The 22,729-nt window shown below is 34.7% G+C and overlaps 2 pseudogenes; both read left to right on the top strand.

Moving 5' to 3' along the window:
• Positions 5,050–6,004, top strand: OR8L1P (olfactory receptor family 8 subfamily L member 1 pseudogene; annotated as a pseudogene).
• On the top strand, positions 17,144–18,063 carry OR5AL2P (olfactory receptor family 5 subfamily AL member 2 pseudogene; annotated as a pseudogene).

Below are 22,729 nucleotides of genomic sequence, written 5' to 3' on the forward strand. Positions count from 1 at the left end.
GAGTAAGGAAAAATGGACTTCTTTCATGGTATGATTTTTTTCCCAGTATAAGTTATCAGGATCCTTGTTTCTCAATATGTGATGTATACATATATTTTCGCTGTGTAATACAATTTTCTAGAGAATTTCTCTTAGAACGTTAGGTATAAAAGTAACTATAAGAATTTACAACACTTCTCTTATTTTTCAAGTGGAAAATATATTAAAATTATTAATTTTCTTGCATAATATTTTATACCAATTTTCCTATTTCTCAAATGAAGAATGCATAAAAAGTCATCATCAAGATATATAATTAGTTATGTGCAGAGCACAGACAAAAGTTAACTCCTCTCCCCGTCCATCCCCAGTTCAGGATTCTGAAGCTGTATTTACAATATCCCACGTGAAAAATAAAGACACATAGTCTAAACATTTTCTTTCTCAATTCCTAATTTTTTGAAAAAATACATGACAATATAAAAATGTCCTATATTTATGCATTTAACATATTGTCTTTATTAATACAAAGAGTACTGCTTTCTAACCTCACCTATGTTACTGACTGAATGTACCTTCTACTTCCTGGAAGTCTTGTTCTGTCTCTGAAGACTAACTCTCTAAGAGAACTGCTTTTCTTATGCCTACAAGATCTCATTATACTTTTTCCCAAAATGTAAATAATGTAACTCAGGGATAGAATTCTGGAGGGAGGAGGGGAGGGCATTATAATTCAAACAAATATATTCACAGTCATTGAAACATCATAAATCATTTTTCCAGTAACAAGGATTATATACAGTTGTGCACAGCAAAGCTCAGGTAAGCTGGTCATTATTTATTAAGGTATAGCTTATAACTCAATGAACCCAGTAGGCAATGTAGCCGAGTGAATAAGCACATGCCTTATAGTCAAAGTATGTGGTTAGATCCCAAACATGTCATTGTGCTCTAGGTATGCTCTTATGAGTTTACTCATCAGATAAATGAGAATAATGTTACTCAGTTTAGAGACTTTTATAGGACTAAGCAATATGGAAAGGGGTAATAATTCATGGTAGGCACTTGAGTATCATTTCCCTTCCTTCTATGAACCTGCAGACTTGAGTGCTAGTCTACTAATTATAAGTCACATAAACGTGAGGGAGCAATTTATAAATGAAGATTATTGTACACCACAGCTGATAAATTGATAATAGAGAGAGAGAGAAAGAGAGAGAGAGAGAGAGAGTAATCATTTTAAAGTATCTTTTTAACTTTTATTTTAAGTTCAGGGATACAAGTGCAGGTTTGTTACATATGTAAAGTTGTGTCAGGGGGTTTGTTGTACAGATCTTTTCATCACCCAGGTATTCAGCCTGGAACCCATTAGTTATTTTTCCTGATTGGCTCCCTCCTCCCAGCCTCCAGCCTCTGAAAGGTCCCAGTGTGTGTTGTTCCCCTCTATGTGCTCATGTGTTTTCATCATTTAGCCTAAGAAAGATTTGATTTTATGAATCATGCCTATCATTTAATATTTTTGCTTCACTTTTTTTCATCTGTAGCCTGTTTCCATACTTAATGGCAAAAGATTAGAAATATACTATTAATGCCCACTGAGAGATTATATTAAAATAGAAATAATTCTTAAATAACCTGCTTTAGGTTAGTGTCCATTTTCAATAATTTTCTTATATATTTGTGAGGTTGTAGAGACATAGGAGTAGCATGACCCACAGTTCTCAAAAGTTTATTTCCTCCTTTTTTCTTTAAACACATGTATCTACTACTTGAACATTTCAGTGCCTTCCTATTGTCTCACATAGGATTAAGCTCTGGCAGAAGATGTTAAGTCTGTCATCTATATATTGAAAGGTTATAATTAATGTTCTTAAATGCATAACCTCTTGGCTGGGCGTGGTGGCTCACGCCTGTAATCCCAGAACTTTGGGAGGCCGAGGCAGGCAGATCACAAGGTCAAGAGATCAAGACCATTCTGGCCAACACGGTGAAACCCCATCTCTACTAAAAATATTACAAATTAGTGGGGCGTCGTAGTGCATGCTTGTGGTCCCAGCTACTCAGGAGGCTGGGGCAGGAGAATCACTTGAACCCAGGAGGCGGAGGTTGCAGTGAGCAGAGATCGCTCCACTGCACTTCAGCCTGGTGACAGAGCGAGACTCTGTCTCAAAAAAAAAAGCATAACCTCTTATCTTAGCAGGCTGGTACATTGTCTGTGCATCAGCCATTCTACTAAAGGGCGTAGATATTTTGGGGAATAAAAGCCTGAATGTGAGCTCTAAATCTAACATTTGCTGAGTTGGAAGTCCTCAACAGTTTATTCTATTTATGTATACTCTAGTTTCCTGATCTTATAAGAAAGTATGAAATATAAAAAGTAAAATGAGGTGAAGAAAATATCAACTATTAAATTCATAAAATGAAGCAGTATGAAGATAAAAATATATCAGCTGTTAAATTAATTGTCCCAAAATCAAAAAAGATTATGATTAAAAACTTTTGTTTGAGTGAAAAATTTTTTAATTGTAATTTTTACAATTTCATACCTAACTTGAAAAAGCTAAACATTTGGAAAATTATCCAATCACAATTAAAGCTTAAAATTTTCAGGTTAAAACTGAGGATTTGTTATATAACTGTTAATATAGGAGAAAAAGATTTGTCATGATTTCCGCTTAAATTTTGCGGATGATTTTGTTAAGTTGGTTTTGTCCGTTTTGAGGACAGTCATGTTTCATTTGACAAGTGCTTCAAACTCGTTAACAAATTAGTCCACCTGTGGAACATATCACAACAAAATATTTCCAAAAAATGTGAAAGTATGAGTCTGTATTTAATGGCAAATAATTGGCAAACAATCTTTTCTTTAACTTTTATTTTTGATCGGGCAAACAATCTTTAGTAGCAAATAAATTCATGCATCCCTACGGGCACCAGATAAGCACAAATTATAGAAACACCAATGTGAAAAATTAAGTTGTCAAAGTGCATAAGCATCTAAGATATTGAAACATGGAAATATGCATATAAAATTAAAGTCAAGTTTATGAAAACAGAGGATAGCATAAAATGTAAAGAACCATTAAAATTGAATGGGAAGGCAGGAAGGAAGAAAGAAATGGAAAGAAAAAGGAAAGATCAATCTCAATATCACCACATAGGTATAACTACTGTTAACATTTTGTCATATTTTATTTGAGTATTTCTGTGCACATATATATGTATACATACATGCAATATCACCTGTATATATTTATATATGTAATCCTTCTTTTCATGTCAATAAATGAAAACCTATATCAACTTTTAAAGGGTCATTTAGTATTTTATGAAGAATTTACAGTTACTAAATATCTGTTAGAACGTATTTAGACAAATTCCATTTTACGGTAACTGAAATTAAACAATATATGTACTTGCATATTTTTATTATTTTCTTATGGACTTAGCATTGAAATCATTGCATCAAGTGGCAGAAATATTTTAAACAATTTTGATGCTTACTGTTAAGCTACCTTCTAGAAAATTGAGGATAAATTACATCTTTACAGGATGTTCATGAGGATATATCCATTTCCCACACCTTTACCAACATGGATATTTTCATCCTTTTAATTTGATCAATCTTATGTTATCTAGTCCTTTGATATTTAATAAAATTGATTATTTCCCTTTGTAATTAACAAATATATTACATGGAAAGCAGCTAGAGATTCATCATTGATTTTGTGTTCTGCTTTTAGCATATTGCGTAATCATAAAATATTTGTCATTTACTAATTTTTGTATTATTTTATTTATAATATTAACCTATGTTTATATAACTACCACCAGTGCTGTGCTGGAGGCAGCCCATACTAGCGTCCAAGAACTATATCTGCAAATCTCTTTTGAACTCATGTTCATGACTGTAGGTCAGTAGCTTAAAATCAGCTAAGATGGGAGTATTTACAGCATGGAAATCACAAAATCAACAGATGTTACAAATTAAATCTTCCTTTTTCTTTTAAATTTGAAAGCCAGTTGATAAACATCCACTGGAATGCCATTGATCTCCACCCTGCTTTGCATCCTACAGTTTATATTTTACTTTTTGTAAGAATAAGTAACCTTTAATTACTTTAAGAAATATCTTGTTTATCTTGAAAGTTTAATAAATCAATTTCAGTTTATCTTTCATGCATTATGAATTTGAATTAACCTGTAAATAATTTTTTTCTTCCCCAAATGCCACCCCACTACAAAATAATGTGAATCTATAAATTTATTTAAGTTAAGCATAAACAATATGCTTAACTTCTGAAGCATATTGTTATATATGCTTAACTTATATATGTATGAATATATAAAGCCAATATTTTGCCAAGTTTAATAGTAAATTAAAATTTGGGTTTTACTTTTTCCTCATTATTTTAAATGGAATCTTGAAAACTATATTTTCACTTTTACTTGAAGCTACATTTTTATTATGGTATCATTTTCATTATGTAGCTTGGTAACTGAATGCTTCACAACAATCATAACAAATCTAATAATATTTTTCCACTGAGCTTATTGGTTCAAGTACCAATAAGCTGTAATATATACTTTAGAATATATACCAATATAGTATAATACATACTTTAAAAATAATGATATTTTTACCACTGTTTTTGTTGCATGGGCTAGGATACTGCATAATGTTTAGTCAAAGCCATGGTTGTCTTGATTCTAAGTTGAGTAGAAATATCGAGTATTTTGCCTTAATGTAGTATTCTAAAATATGTTAGCATTTCTTTTATCATTGAAGTATTTATCCTGCTTTTCCTATGATACAGGGTTTTTATTGTATATATAACATTCCACATTTTAATTCAAGATATTCTATCTTCTTTAACAATCTTCCAGACTACTAAGCATGTTGGAATATCTGACTGGAGCAAATCCCTTCTGATAATAAGCAGGGAGAATGATGTATAGGACAAGAGAGAGTTATCTTTCCAGTATGATCACCATCAAATAAGTGTGAGTCAAGTCTTTAATCCAAGAAATGGAAGATTATCCAGGATGAATGTTTTGAAGATAATGGTATGAAATACTTCTACACATATTTCATGGCCAAAACCAATAATTCAGAAGTTACTGAATTCATCCTCTTGGGACTCACAGACAATCCAGAGCTCCAAGCCCTTTTTTAGGGGGATCTTTCTAGTGATCAATTTAAGTAGTGTCATGGGTAGCCTTGGGTTAATTATGCTAATTCATATCAGTCCTCAGCTTCACACAGCTATGTATTTTTTTCTCAGCCACGTAGCTTTTGTTTATTTTTGCTACACCTCCTCTATCACCCCTAACAGCCTAGTGAACCTCCTCCAAGAAACTAAAAGAATATCCTTACCTACTTGTGCCTCTCAGTTGCATTGCTTTATCATGTTTGTGGTTTGTGACATGTATGTGCTCTCAGCCATGGCATATGACAGGTATGTGGCCATCTGCAACCCTTTACTCTATAGTATCATCATGAACAGAAGGGTCTGTATTCAAATGGTGGTAAGTACATATTTGTATGGCTTTTCTGTGAGACTCCTACAGGCAATTCTTACATTCCACTTGTCTTTCTGAGATTCAAATATAATAAATAATTCCTATTGTGATGATGTTCCCCTAGCATGTCTACCCTATCATAAAAACCATTACAAAGATGTAAAAGAACTGATATTGTTCACACTTGCTGGTTTCAATACACTTTTCTCCCTTCTTATCATCCTCATCTCCTACATATCAGTACTGTCTGCCATTCTGAGAATTAATTCAGCTGAAAGTAGACAAAAGGCATTTTCTACTTGTGACTCCCACCTGACTTCTATCATCATATTTTATGGTATAATTACCTTCATGTATATGCAGTGAAAAACAAATAATTCTCTGGATACAGACAAAATAGCTTCTGTTTTCTGTATTGTGAAAATTCCTTCAATATATAGCCTGAGGAACCACGAAGTCAAAGATGCTTTGAAGATGATTATGGAAAATCTATGTCTTACTACAAGATAAATGACCTTGGGTCTAATCATAAAGCCCTTTGAATTGGGAGGCAAAATAAAGCCAGACTTTAAGTATTTTTGCACTAGCACACCATTAGTAACCTGCTTTTTAATGTTATAATATCAAAGTTGATATCGATACAGAACATGCATTAATTTTCATATTTCATTATTTGAATTGTTAAATGTATATATTTAATTGTTGTGAATACACAATAGTTGTACACATTTATGGGGTACATCTAATATTTAATACAAGCATACACTGTGTAATGATCACATCGGGGTAAATGGGATATCCATAACTTTGAGTATTTATCATTTCTTTGTGCTAGAAACATTCTAATTCCATTCTCTTTGTTATTTTGAAATACACAATAAATTATTGGAAGCTATAGTTGCCCTACTGTGCTACCAAACACTACATCTTATTCTTTCTATCTAACTGTATTTTTGTACTCATTAACTATTTCCTCATTATCAACTCTCCTCCCCAATACACTTCCCAGTCTCTGCTCTGGCAACCACCATTCTACTATCTCCAGGAGTTTTATATATATATATACACACACACACATATATATATATATACACACACACATATATATATACACACACATATATATGTAAGAACACGTGATATTCGTCTTTCTGTGTCTGACTTATGTCACTTATAATATCTTTCATGTTGTTGCAAATGACAAGATTTCATTAATTTTATGGATCAATAATAATCCGTTGTGTATATGTACCACATTTTCTCTATGCATTCATCCACTGATGGAAACTTAGGTTGATTCCATATCATGGCTGTTGTGAATAGTGCTGCAATAACATGGAAGTGTAAACATCTCTTCAATATACTAATTTCCTTTCTTTTGGCTATATATCCAGCAGTGAGATTGCTGGATTATATAGTAGTTCTACTTTTAGTTTTTTGAGGAACCTCAAGATTGTTCTTTACAGTGACTGCACTAATTTAATTTACATTCACACCAATGGTGTTTGAGGGTTCTCCTTTCATCATATCCTTGCCAGCATCCATTATTGCCTGTCGTTTGGATAAAAGCTATTTTTAACTGGGATTAGGTGACATCTCACTGTGGTTTTGATTTGCATTTCTTTGATTACTAGTGATATTAAACCATTTTTCATATACCTATTAGTCATTTTTAGGTCTTCTTTTGAGATATGTCTAGTCAGGTTTTTTGCCAATGTTTCAATTGAATTTTTGTGGATTTTATTTTTTCCTACTGAGTTGTTCGTGCTTGTTATATATTCTGTTTATTGATCCCTTGTCAAATCTGTAGATTGCAAATATTATCTCCCATTCCGGATTACTTCTTCACAATTCAAAGTGGAGAAATGTTATTTTAAATCATGAAAGTAATCTGTGTTGATATTGTGAGAAGTGAAAATGACATTTATTCAGTTGCAAATAGTAGGCTAAATTTTGTTTCATGGAACATTTAAAAATCAATCTTTTTTTCCAGTGAAGACTTTGACTTCAACACTTTTAATATATAAACCTTGAATTGGTAAAAATTATGTCCACTTTATATCACTAAAGCAGCTTTGAGTCATTAACATTGTCTATAAAATACACATACACACCCACACACACATGACCTATTAGTTGAACCCCAAAAGAGTTATTGGTTCTGATGACATGACAGGGACACTGGCATTAACACCTAATTTAAAAAGACTGGTGCAAAGCCTAATTAAAAAATACTAAAAGAGCAACTTGAATTCTAACAAATGAAACAAAAAGTACCTTAGTGTCAAAAACAATTCTATCGATGAGGTATATTTATAATTGCTAATTTGCTGATTTTTATAATAGTAGCATGGTCATTTAAGAGAATGTTCTTGCTTTTAGTAAATATAACAAGTATATAAAGGTAAAGAGGCATCATGTCTTCAACTTATTATCAAAGCTCAGAAAAAATGTGGTAAAATGTTAACATCTGGAGAAGCTGGGTGAATGGTGCAAAATAATTCTTCGTAAAATGTTAGCATCTTTTCTGTAATTCTAAAATTATGCCAAAATAAAAGCTCAAATAAAAAAATATACCCTGTTTAATAAATGGTGCTGGGAAAATTGTAGAAGAATGAAGCTGGATCCCTATTTCTCATCGTATACAAAAATCAACTCAAGATGGATTAAAGAGCTAAATGTAAAACATGAAGCTTTAAAAATTTTATAAGAAACCCTGGGAGAAACTCTCCAGGACATTGGACTTAGCAAAGAATTTATGTCTAAGACACCTAAAGCAAATGCAAACAAAACAAAAAGAAATTGGACCTAATTAAACTAAAAAGCTTCTGCATAGCAACAGAAATAACCATTAGAGTAAACAAACAACCCATAGAATGGAAGAAAATATTTGCAAACTATGCATCCATCAAAGGACTAATACCCAGAATCTGAAAGGAACTCAAACAAATCAAAAAGAAAAAACAAATAAATAAAAGTGGATAAATTACATAAATAGACATTTTTCTAAAGAAGATAAACAAATGGTCAACAAATATATTTTAAAAATGCTCAACATCACTAATCATCAGGGAAATGCAAATTAAAACCACAATGAGATACCACCTTACCCCAACCAGAATGGCCATTATTAAAATGGACATCTATTAAAAAAATAATAGATGATGGCATTGATGTGGTGAAAAGGGAATGCATATACACTGCTGATGGGAAAGTAAATTAGCACAACCTCTATGAGAAACAGTATGGAGATTACTCAAAGAACTAAAAGCAGATCTACCATTTGATCCAGCAATCTCACTACCGGGTATCTACCCAAAGGAAAAGTCCTTATATCAAAAGGCTACCTGCTTGTATATGTTTATTGCAGCACAATTTACAATTGCAAAGATATGGAACTAATCTAGGTGCCCATCAACCATGAGTGGATAAAGAAAATGTGGTGTACAAACACCACGGAACACTACTCAGCCACGAAAAATAACAAAATAATGTATTTTGCAGCAACTTGCGTGGAACTTGAGATCATTATTCTAAGTAAACTAACTCCAAAATGAAAACCAAATACTGCATATTTTCACTTATAAGTGGAAACTAAGCTGTGGCTATACAAAGACATACAGAGTAGTATAAAATGGACATTAGAGACTCAGAAAAGGGGTGGGTGGGTGGGTTGAGCCACAAAAAACTACATATTGAATACAACATACACTACATGAGTGACCTAAAATTTCAGGCATCATCACTATACAGTTCATCGATGAAACCAAATCCGCTTTTACTCCTAAAGCTATTATAATTTAAAAAATTAAAAACTAAAAATAAGTCTTCATTTAATTTTAATTTAATGTTTTAATTGAACAATATCTTTTAATATAGTATTTTGTTGGCCCAATTCCAAATTCATTGTAACTTAAAAAAAGATTTTATTTATAAGAAATAATTATAAGTATCTGTTTTTAAGAAAATTGTTAAATAATACCATCTATTCATCTTCAATAAAGTTTAGTGTAACAAAATCGACTTTGTTTTATAAGTGCTGATTAACTAAGTTTTTATTTTTCACCAATAATAAGTTAAAACAATACTCAATACTTTTAAGAAAACGTTGTCACAATTTTGTCAAAGTTCTTAAAATATCTAGAATTTTGTTAATTACTTTATGACCAGCCATTAAATTACACTCAAGTTTCTGAGAGATATCAATGTGTATGTAAGGATTCAACTCTTCATTGAGTCAGGAGACTGGATCTGGCTCTTTCATATTCAATTCAATGTTTACACATTTGGAAGTGGGACAGTTTACAGGAATGTCATAGAAAAATACACCTCTGTATCAGTTCAGTCATTTTCACTCTGTCTGGAGTGAACCCCGGCCTTAACAGAGAATGCCTGAATCACAACCACCACTATCAAATTTCTAGCCACCTCCATTTCAAATGCAGCCAGATTCTACTCTGTCACTGTCACCAGTGTTGCATAGTACCAGAGCAAATGTCCTCAAAAGTGTTATATGGAATATTAAGCCCATAGTAATAATCCACAAAAAAGGTAATTTTAAATGATAGCCCTTTGCTTGAAGATATAATTCCCATTGGTATTAAAAAAAGGAACTTGGCCGGTCATGGTGGCTCACGCCTGTAATCCCAGCTCTTTGGGAGGCCGAGGCAGGCGGATCACGAGGTCAGGAGATGGAGACCATCCTGGCTAACACGGTGAAACCCTTTCTCTACTAAAAATACAAAAAAATTAACCGGGCATGGTGGCGGGCGCCTGTAGTCTCAGCTGCTGGGGAGGCTGAGGCAGGAGAATGACCTGAACCCGGGAGGCGGAGCTTGCAGTGAGCCGAGATCGGGCCACTGAACTCCAGCCTGGGCGACAGAGCAAGACTCTGTCTCTAATTAATTAATTAATTAATTAATAATCAAGAATGAACTGACAAAATCTCTTTCAATTTGTTTAACACTCATTTTGTTAACATTTTTGAAAGCATAGAACTTCCAGAATTTTCCCTGCCAATATTCTGAAGAAATCCCTGTTTGCTCCCAAAACCTACTTACGTGATCTAAATCCTCTGAGCCTTACCAGAGAGAGTTTCCTTATCTTTAAAGTGAAAGTTAATGTAATGATTTCCTTGAGTTTTCCCCTCACTGACTGATCTAACCAAAAATCATTAGAATTTTCATTCTGCCAAAAAAGCGTTATACTTTTGTTGTAGAAATCCTGATGTCAAAAAATCAACTTTATAGATACAAGAAAGGAGGGATAGCATCGAGCTAAGAGTCCTTTCAACTTAAAAATAAAATACCAAGAGATACTATTTTTCATTTATGAGGATTTCAAAATGCAAAAATTTGACTAGACTGAAAGTAAATAAGAACTCTCATCTGCTGCTGATGGTGGCAGGCACCTGCAGTCCCAGCTACTTGGGAGGCTGAGGCAGGAGAATGGCGTGAACCCGGGAGATGGGGATTGCAGTGAGCCGAGATCGCACCACTTCACTCCAGCCTGGGCGAAAGAGTGAGACTCTGTCTCAAAAAACAAACAAACAAACAAACAAACAAACAACAAACTTCTGTGAAGAATTATTTGGCAATATCTAGCAAAGTTGCAGGTACCCAACAATCATACTTCTAAGAAAGGAATTCAAGTATTCAAAGGAATACTGACACAAATACTAATACAAGCTAATACATGTGCACAAGGTAATTTACTGGGATATTATTTAAATTAGCAACAGATTTGCACCCGAATATCCATGAATAGAGACTTGCACCCGAATATCCATGAATAGAGACAGCCCTTCCATGTATGAGGAAAGATTTCTAGGTATGATACAGAGTAATTATCAGAATATAATATTGACAAGACAAAAATGCAGAAAAGAATTAATACTACACATTACACTGTGCAAGAAAAAAGGAAGAATATAGAATGCACATGTGTAGCTTCTTATATTTGATTAAAAATTGCAGGCTCATGCCTGTAATCCCAGCACTTTGGGACACAGAGGCGGGTAGGTCACTTGAGTTCAGGAGTTCGAGATCAGCCTGGCCAGCATGGTGAAACCCCGTCTCTACTAAAAATACAAAATTAGCTGGGTGTGGTGGTGCACACCTGTAATCTCAGCTACTTGGGAATCTGAGACAGGGGAATCATTTGAACCCAGAAGACGGAGGCTGCAGTGATCTAAGATCTTGCCACCGCACTCCAGCCTGAGGAAGACAGAGCAAGACCCTCTCTCAAGAAAAAAAAAAAAAAGACAAAAATAATGGGAGGATAAGTTAAAATGAAAAAGAGTGGAACAAGTGCAGATAGGGACAGAAGTCAACCCTTAAAAAATAAATATTACTATGTTGTTTTGATTTGAAAAACATTACAAGTTTAAGTAATTAAAAATAAAATTAAGTCAAAAGTGAAAAAAAAAAGAAAACAAACTTTTATTCTGGAAACCCATTTTATTCAAAGCAAAAGCCAAAGGACTTGCAAGGAGCCACAGAACTCTGAATTACCTGACCTCATGCTAAATCTCCGACCTTGTCACCTTAACCTTTATGCCTTTCTCTGTTCCGACCTCCTTGCCCTTACAACAGCTGCTGCATGCTTTCCGTAGCATCTTTGCATAGGCTGTCTTTTGGCCTGGTGTTGGCTTCCTCAGATATCTGTTTTCTCCTTCACTCCTGTGCCACAGTTGGTTCTGTACAGAAATAGAGAAAGGGCTTGTTATAAGAATAAGGGCTAATATGAATATTGGAATATCTCAGGAAATAAAGATTAGGGAAATATTGAGGACAGGGCTAGGAAAGCTATAGCTTGAAGGTGAGCAGAACAGATAATGAAGACCTTAGCCCTAAACAGTGACGCAAATGCCCCCAGGAAACTGTATGTATAAGAATCCCTGAGAAAGCTCCCATCCCAAGTAGCAGGGAAGTTTGCACTGCAGTTTGTGACTGTTTAGGAGTTTCCATATCTTCTCTGTGTCCATTCACAACTGGAATTACGTAATAAAATGTTTTCTATTGAAACAAAAATGATGAATTTAAAAATCCAAAACAGAGTGGCTTAAACAAATGCAATGCATTATTTACCATGTGTCATAGGACAGTTTCTGCTCTGGGCCATGCTTGGCTAATCTTGTCTGCATCCACTCATGAGTTCATCCTCAGCTAATATGTTGCCTGGAAACAAGCTGGTATAAGATGTCCCCACCTGTGAAAACTGGTTTAGCGCCACATGACTTCTCATCTGCCAACAGGTTAGCATGAATCTGTGGTCAGGGCAAAGGAGGAAGAGTAAGACAGGAAGTTGAAATACACTACACCTCTCTCAAGCCTACATTTGTGTCAAGTCTGTTATCAAAGCATCAGCTAAAACAAGTTACATGACTGAGGCCAGAGGCAGAATACAGAAGTACTATACATTTATAGAAAAAGAGCATGATTACAGAGAGGCCTTTAACTGGGGCTGTTAATACAACTAATTGATCTACTGTGCCTGAAAAGTGAGCTAGAGCATCATTCCCAATTATGACATATTAAGTCTCTGATATTCTCACATGTTCATATAAAAAGCACTGGGTATATTCCTTTGGAAAGTATCTGAAAAGGAGCTATTATATTAACACGCTGTATTTTAGAACGGTTCAAGGAACCTGCTTCAAGGAAATTCAGTTCTCATTTCAATAAAAGAGATTTTTTTTAAAATCTATGATCGGACTTAATTTTGAAAAAATCTTAAGGAAAAACATTGTTCATTGTGACAGCTGTTATTAGTTTTTTTCTCACCAGCTCCATATTTTGTCTAAATACACAAATGGACGAATATTTTAAAATACTATGCTTTATATGTCCTGTACAATTATAGAATTATATACAATTATTAAACAACATCAGCTGCCCATCCGTCTAAACCCAAGAACATCACAATCCATAACCCATTACCATAGAAACCGGGTTAAAGTACCTCAGTTGCAGCCTAATCAAGTATTGTAACCCAATACCAGTGTTGCATCCACCTTGTTACTCTCATTCTGGAATAACAACATCCCTACTGTTATTAGGGAGCACAGACCTGTAGGTCCACTCCATTCATACAAGCCGAAGAGCACAGCCACTATTGAGCCTCTAAAAAAATACCAGTTTCCTCTACGCTAGTGCATTCCTTATTGCCCAAGCAATGAAACTGTCTTCTGTGACTTCCTAAAAATATAGACAGGTGGAGAGTTTTTATTTCTACATAATAAATTAATCATCATACTCCTACATACCTCAATTTTCTTCCTGTGCCTTCATTATTATGTGAAAGTATTTCTAGCTTATCTGTTGCATATAATGTCAGGCATCTTTCAATACAGACTTTAAAGAGCCATCTCAGAAAATTTATAAAAAAAGCTTCAGATATTACTGCTAAACATTCTCCTGGATGAAGGAGTTCATCTCTTTCCATGGAATGAGAACAACTAGGTGTCAATTAACCTATGATTTGCATGCATTTCTCTCCTAGGGAGGAAAACAAATTTTTAAAAAATAATTAATCCTTACTGTTGAACTACAACGCCAATTATAACAACAAGTTGTGATATTAATCTCAGAAGGCAGATTTGAGTGTTATTAACTGGAAAAGTTATTTTTCATCTAAAACTTTATAAAATCTGCTGCTAAATATGAGGCCCACAAGCTCAACATTTATTTTAAATAAATTCTTAATTGCCATTAAAAGCCAATACAGCAAAACTAAAGCAAATGTAGCAAATAATCAAAGTAGATATAGCCATTAATCAAATTGCTTTCCCAAAAGAGATCATTAAAATATTCCTCTACTCCCTATTCATTTATTGACTAATAGTTGAAAGAGTGATCTACCATTTCAAGGGAAATAGCTTTGTCCCCAAACACTAAACATCAAATAATCGCCTGTTACTGAATAATCATTATTTTGTTTTGCAATGTTTGTTTAACAAAAGTAACAACAGAAAGTTTCCAGAGGAACCACCAAAAAAAAAAAAAAAAATTACAAAGCTGTCTCACGTCTACATAATTTTAAATGTTACTGGCTTCACAAACATTGCTTTCAGGTGCAATGTGCTATTTGGAGGTTTGTTGTTGAACTGAAAGACAGCATTTTGAATATAGAAAGACACTGGGTCATAGAAAAAACAAAAAACTCAAACTGTGGGAAAGGCATCAAACTTATATGGCTTTTACTTCTATTCAGTTAATCATTTAACAGGAAATTATTGATGATCTGTTTATATTAGACACTACTAGAGGTAAGTAATTAAAATGGGCATAAAATAATTTAAGAATTAAAACTTGCTTAAAAAGAAGACTTTCAAGTTTAGGGTGTGTTACAGACATGTGTTAACAGTTGGTTGCAATATAGTGTGGCAAGTGCTATCGTAAAGCAATCAGTGGATCCAAAATAGTGAATATAAGAAGCACTAATTTTGGCCTGGAAGGTCAGGAAAGCCTCCAGGAGGAAATTATTCAACAGAAAAATTTAAAGTTAACCAGAAGAAAAATCAGGGATAGGTAATAATAGCAGAGGAAAAGTGTTCTGGGCACAGAAGGAAACTATATAAATATGTAGATTACATTTGAATAACTGCGATAGTTGATCATATCTGGAACATGAAGACCAAATGGAGAATGCTGCAAAAGATGAGCCTGGTCTGAGATGCAGGGCCTAGGTTTTCAAGAGCTATGTCAGCCATGTTTAAAACAAACAAACAAAAAAAAAAACTAGGACCTTATCTTAAGGGCAATGGAGAAGGCATTACGAGATTTAACCAGGAGAATATTGGAATAAAGTTTGTATCTGTAAAAAGTTTATTTAAGCTGCAATGTAAGGAAGAGAGAGAAATAGGAAAGACTGGGGGCAAGAATATGAGTCAGTTGCCAGTTACAATAAAGAAAACAAAAGTTGCATCAAGAGAGGAATGTAAGTTAACAGATTTGAAAAGTATGTCAGATATAAAATTGTTAGTAATTGGGGACAAATTAAATATTGGCATAAGGAACAGGAATGCATAGTAAAAGATAATTGGTCCCTGGTTTGAAACACTGGGTGAATAATGTCCCTATTCATTTAGAGAAAGTATATATTCCAGGTTTTGAATATTAGATTTAACACACAGAGATACCAATAGAGAAAATAAATCTGAAATAGAAATATATATGTGTGCGTAGCCAGAATATAGATGCTTACTGGAGACATAGGATTGGATAAAATCACTGAACAAGAAGATGTAAAGAAGAGAGCTTGGGGGCTTAGAACCTGAAGTACATGTCACCTGAAGCATATATAATGGAAGCAGAGCTTCCAACGTACAGAATCAAAGTAAACAATCAACCTAGAGACTGCTTTGTTTGGGAAACTTAAGGTATATTAACAGAGTCCAGTGCTAATACCCTGCCAAAGAAAAATAGGCTGGATTGGATTTGGAGATCGTGAAGTCAATAGTGAAGTTGGTGAGGAGATTTTTTGGTTTAATGGGAAAGGAAGGCAAATTACACTTGATTAAATTATGAATGTGATTGAAAAAGTAGAGGCCTACTCTAAGATGTTTGGCTGAGAAGTGCAAGTGACAGAAAAGAGAAGAGACTAACCAAGATAAAATTTCTAAGGAGATGACAAAGGTTATGGGAATGGGTGTTTTTTATATTTTATTTATTTTTTTACCTTCCTCGAAGATCTGCAAGGTACATGTAAAGCAACAAGAGACAATATAATTATAAAAAAGAATCAAGTTTACTTATCCCCTGCTCTGCTTAAGAAATGCAGGGATCAATTTAACTCCATCAGCTTTCAAGCATTCAGAGCCCAGTTTGGGTTTGAGAAAATGGTCTGTAGAATTTAGTTCTTCAAAACACTGCCCAAATGCTATACACATTGGACCACTTAGATATCTAAACATAGAAGTTAAATAAGGTTTTCCGTCAGCTAAAGTTTTTTCATACTCTGTAAAATTGTTCACTGGTGTGTACTCTTCCAAAAAGACAAAGCCAGGGTATTCAAAATCCTGCTATTCTTTAATATCAAAATGAAATGTCTATAAAGGAAAAAAAAGAGATAAGCAAAAGGAAGAAAATTTTGAAATCACTCCAACTTGGATGCCCAAGATGATAGTGTTAATATTTTGATTTTGAACTTTTATGTTATATTTTCCTCATTTAATTTTGTTAATTTGTGATATCCTTGTGAACTAATATATCTGTGTATAATTTCATAAAACAAACTTACAATTTAAGAAATAAATTTACATATATTGTCAATGTTACTCACATTCTTAGCATTGCAATGTGTTTTTATTTTTTGGTTTTTCCAGAAAAGTACAACATAGATTTTGCTGTTGTATTGACTACAGTATTTTACTTAAAATACTTTTTTCTTTTACAACTCTTCACTGAATTTTCTATCTTGGAATTTCTGCCTGAACCAAATTATTTTACCTGGAAAGCATAAGGAAAATTTATGTATAATTCAGAGTACTTATCAGAACTTTAATTTAATTAAACTTAATATAATACACTGGTAAGTCATGGCTATCTTCTCACATTTAATTGGTCATTTCTTATAGAGTCAAGATTATTCAGAAGGTATGCTCTGGAGTTCATTTTAGAAGAATCCTGTATCTATTACATGGCAAAAGGCAATCATTCATCAGTGACTGAGTTCATCCTCCTAGGGCTCACAGATAATCAGGAACTTCAAGTCATTCTCTTTGGTGTATTCCTACTGATTTACTTAGTTACTGTGTTGGGTAATCTTGGTTTGATTGTGCTAATCCATATCAGTCCTCAGCTTCACACACCTATGTATTTTTTCCTCAGCCATCTGGCTTTTGTGGATTTTTACGGTACCTCTGCTATCACTCCAAACACCCTTGTCAACTCTTTGCATGAAATTAAAAGCATGTCATTTTATGCATGTGCCACTCAAGTGTGCTGCTTCATTACACTTTCAGTCTGGGAATTATTGTTGCTCTCATGGCATATGATCGGTATGTTGCCATCTGCAACCCTTTACTCTATGTAGTTCTCATGCCTAGGAGACTCTGCATTCAAATGGTCACTGGCTTATATATTTATGGTTTCACCATGGGACTCATACAAGCAGTGGCCACATTCCACATGTCGTTTTGTGACTCTAATGTGGTCAACCAGTTCTACTGTGATGATGTTCCTCTGATTGCTCTGGCTTGTTCTGATACACAAGTCAAGGAATTGATGTTGTTCATCATTGCTGCGTTCAATGTTTTTTGTTCTCTTATCATTGTTCTCATCTCCTATGTATTCATCGTCTTTGCTATCTAAGGATCCACTCTGCCGTAGGAAGACAGAAAGCCTTTTCTACCTGTGCTTCTCACATGTTTTCTATTTCCATATATTATGGGACCCTCAGTTTTATGTACCTACAGCCTAAGTCAAGCCACTCACTAGATAAAGACAAATTTGCCTCAGTATTCTATGCAGTGGTGATTCCCATGCTAAACCCATTGATCTATAGCTTGAGGAATCAAGAGGTAAAAAAATGCTATGAAAAAAATTATTGAAAAAATGTGTTCTAGTAATCAACAGTAAAATTTGTTGGTACTAAAAGAAATACTACGTACAGAGTCAGGACATTTTGAATCAAGGTTTGTACAGTGCTAGTATATGTAGAAGCCTTTGTCCTTTGGAACTTATTTTCTTTGAAAATATGTCTTTTATTGCTTTGGCTTACAAATGATAGGCATTTTGTAAATGTTTCACTTTTGAACTGCAAAAGAGAGATAAGAATAATCTACTCTCTTTAACCATGAGATGCTTCAATACTAAATAGAAATAAAGAAGAAAGCACCTTGAAATTATGACTTTATCTTATTTCACTATGATATTGAGAACTTTAGGTCATCTTGAGAGACATGTGCTATTATTATTACTGCATATAATATTGCAAATACTAGGCAAGGTTTTCTTCCATAGTTGAACTGGGGGGAAAATGGTGAGATGCTTGGCTGAAAGATTTTGGTTTGAATATCCCTTACAAGTTAGATTATCCTTCATTTTACAATATCTCTATTGATTTGACTGAATATTTTTACCTGATCATTCAAGCATCATCCCTCCCATATTACCCTCACATTCAGCCAGCACATTTACTGAACTGATGCATTAGCTATTTGTCCGGGTGCTCTTCGTACCTTGCCCCCAACTCCATGACAAGCCCCAGTGTGTGATGTTCCCCTCTCTGTGTCCATGTGTTCTCGTTGTTCAACTCCCACCTATGAGTGAGAACATGAAGTGTTCGGTTTTCTGTTCCTTGTTACTTTGCTGAGGATGATGGCTTCCAGCTTCACCCATGTCCCTGCAAAGGACATGATCTCATTCCTTTTTAATGGCTACATAGTATACCGTGGTGTATATGTACCACATTTTTTTATCCATTCTACCATTGATGGGCATTTGGGTTGGTTCCATGTCTTTGCTATTGTAAATAGAGCTGCAGTAAATATACATGTGCATGTGCCTTTATAGTAGAATGATATATATTCCTTTGGGTATATACCCAGTAATGGGATTGCTGGGTCAAATGGTATTTCCGGTTCTAGATCCTTGAGGAATCGCCACACTGTCTTCCACAATGGTTGAGCTAATTTACATTCCCACCAACAGTGTAAAAGTGTTCCTATTTTTCCACAGCCTCACCAGCATCTGTTGTTTCTTGACTTTTTAATAATCACTATTCTGACTGGTGTGAGATGGTATCTCACTGTGGTTTTGACTTGCATTTCTCTAATAATCAGTGATGTGTAGCTCTTTTTCATATATATGTTGGCCACATACATGTCTTTTTTTGAGAAGTGTCTGTTTTTTTGAGAAGTGTCATTTGTTTTTAATCCATCTTGAGTTAATTTTTGTATAAGGAAGGGGTCCATATTCTATAAGCAAAATGATTGTCAGTGATGAGTACATGTTGAGACCATTCATTATATAGCATGATCACATCAAACTTTCGTTGCTATAAAATGTATTATTTTCTTCTGAAGCAATATTGTAAATTGTTGTTGAATATATGTATAGGCTCATTCCTGACATTGTTTGCTCTGCTCACAGTGCCATTGCATACATGTAAAAGCCCTGAGGTTGCAAGAGAGGAGAAAGGATGACTGCCATCTACAGGACAGGTTATCCAGTCTTCATTGTTACAAGCCTCCTCTGCTAGAGCTAATCTTTGGGAGTTAAAAATGAAACTAATGTCTTGTGCCCACTTCTACAAAATTATCTAAAATCTCCTTTCCAAGGATACCACGTTTTTTCAAATACGTTACTCCCAGTCCTCTAACCAACTGGCCAATATTATTTCTTACTGCTTATGAATCAGTATATATCCATTTCTTCAGGCCACCTTTTCTCCATATGAAGTGGAAGACCAAATATTCTACCCACTGGGACAGTTTGCTTTCACCGTCATCCTTCAAGGCCACCTCCTAGTGGGACTATAAAGTGGCACAACTTTATATCTGATTATTTTCTACATGATGTAGCAACCCTTATTTGTACTGGGCACAAATCTTACTTGGAAACTCCTCAGTTGGAACCTCTAGCCCATGAAATAATAGCACATATTGACAGAAAAGGGTCTATGCAGCAGGAATAGGTGATAAAAACCGTGAACTCGCTGTTTATATAATTTGTTAATGCCATCTCAACCTGATTTAACCAGGTTGTATATGAATAATTTCCATTTGCAATGGATTGCTGTTGTGGCTGCCCAAACTTATAAGTTGGTGAATCTTATAATATCAAGTACAGAATAGACAGCTGATGCTTAATGTTTACTTGGTGTCCCTTCATCTGGCACTTTGTTTCAGACAGAAAACTATTTCATGTATTCATCAGAATGTCTGGCTTTGCTTCAATGTCTGTGCTGTGATGCTGATTTGGACTTTCCAGAGACCAAGTATCATTATTTCCCAGCACAGATATCTCCAACATCATTGGATCACTTTCCAAATCTACTCTTCCTCTGGGACTGAGGCAAAAGAGGTAGTCTTCTGGAATACCCAGTAAATGGCTTACAGCTCTAGACCCCAGCATAGTATATTGTTTATGGTAACCCTAAATCATTCCAAAAAGTGCTACACTTATTTCTAAACTTGTGGCACAGCAATGTGTTTTCTAACTTGGAGGAGATGAGCAAAAACTACCATAGATAAAAGAAAAACTTCAGCCGAATTAAATTTAAAGGAGTTTAATTCAGCAATGAACAATTCCCAAGTCAGGCAGCCCCCCAGAATCACACCAGATTCACAGAGCCTCCAGGAGTGCCTCGTGGTCAGAATAAATTTATAGACAAAAAAGTTAAAGTGACAGTGAGTTGGAATTGGAAGTGAGGTACAGAAACAGTGAGATTGGTTACAGCTCAGCATTTGCCTTACTTAAACACAGTTTGAACATTCAGCAGTCTATGAGTGGTTGAAGTATGGGCCACTGGGATTGGCCAACACTCAGCTATTATTACGGGTGTGTACTATTAAGTTAGGTTTTCAATTTTGTCTGACAAGCTAGGTTACAATTCATCTACAAGGACACAAATATAGAAGTATGGAGTCCTTCTCAGGCCATATTTAGTTTATTTTTTTTTTAACAATTCCCCCTTTTTGTTCATTTCCTCAATTTTGAGAGATTGATTGAAACCTTAGTCATTGATGTTACTATCACTGTCATAAATGTACTTATACAGTTTTGAAACCCACTGGGAAACAGTGAGGTTTGTAAGGAGAGAATAAGGACTGAGTAGAGGGTACCTCCTTGTGCTGGAACATCTTATTTACAGGAGAAAAACAAAACCTGTTTTGTTCTAGGATCTAAGTGTTTTCTTGAAGCCTTAGTTTGATTATGTCACATTTAGCACAAGTGACTCCATTTTCATTTGGTTTGGTTTGCTAGGGCCTCGCCCATGAGCTTAGTCCAAAATAATGGCCTCCCATAATTTTGTTTAAAAAAAATTCCCCCTTTTTGCTCAGGTTCTCACTTAGATGAAAGTGTGACCAAAGCTTAGGGCCTTAGCACCACTCTCAGTTACCATCATTTTGGGTTTCTAGTCTCAGCATGTCACTCATAAGTTACGGTGTCCTCATGGTAGCACATTTCTTTCAGCTTTCGTCATTCTAGTTGAAGAGAAAGCACTTGACATTCTAGAGATGGCTGCATGCAAACATTTAAAGCCTTTGAGAAAAATACAGTGCATCAGGGAAACTATTACTATGAATATCTGGAGGATAACACCAAGAGTTTGGAGTTATCCTTACCCAGGGTCCCCGTAAAACAAAACAAATTAAATAGATTAAAGAATGAGCTAGGTGCAAAGTCTACTCACTTGACTAAGTGGTCTTTCATTAATCCCCTGCAACTGAATTTTTATATTTTACATTTGGTGTATTTCTCCATAGGCCACAAGTGTCAGCAGCTGCACATGTGCTTTTCTGTTTAGCCAATCTATTATTTAGCATAACTTTCACAGGACAATTTAAAGTTTGTTGTGTAACAATATCCTTTATAGTGTAATTTGCTGTTGAGCCTATTATGAGGGAGACATTTCTGATTATGGCCTTTTTTATTCTAAACCATGGAAAAAGAACTTAATAAATGATGTCCTTCTAGAAGAGTGAAGGCCTCCTGATAAAGTTCTCTTTAATTCATGATATGGGTTAAGAGGAGTTTTGACTGATTATGAGGCAACATATGCACCACTAAAGTTTCTCGCCTATATTGGGCCTTCATCTTTTATCTATTGAAGTATAAGTTTATTCATGTATAAGACTGGCTGGAAAATCCTTCACAAAGAAAAGTATACACTATAATTGCACATAATGGAACCCCTTTTCACTTCTATTGTTGTTCATAGAGACATAACAAGGAAAAAATATTCAAAGATAAGAGTCTTATGGTAGTTGAAGTTTTGATCCATGATCTTGGGAAAAGCTGTTCACATCAAGTATTCCATCTTCTTCTGGGGAGAAACTTCCCTGGTTAGTTTTACCTTAAGGGTTCCAATGGGTGTACAGTTCCAGGAGTGTGGAAGGAACCTTCTCAGTTGTGAGATTATAAACCCAAAATTCAAGGGGCCAAAGTTTTGCTGTAGTGTGGATGGCAAGGACAGTCTTCCTCAGATGTTCTCAGAAGATCCAATCTTCAGGCTCTAGACTGTGAAGGAACTGTCCTCAGTGAACCATAAAAAGCTT

The sequence above is a fragment of the Homo sapiens genome, chromosome 11 (assembly GCF_000001405.40).
Source record: "Homo sapiens chromosome 11, GRCh38.p14 Primary Assembly".
Lineage (NCBI taxonomy): Eukaryota > Metazoa > Chordata > Mammalia > Primates > Hominidae > Homo > Homo sapiens.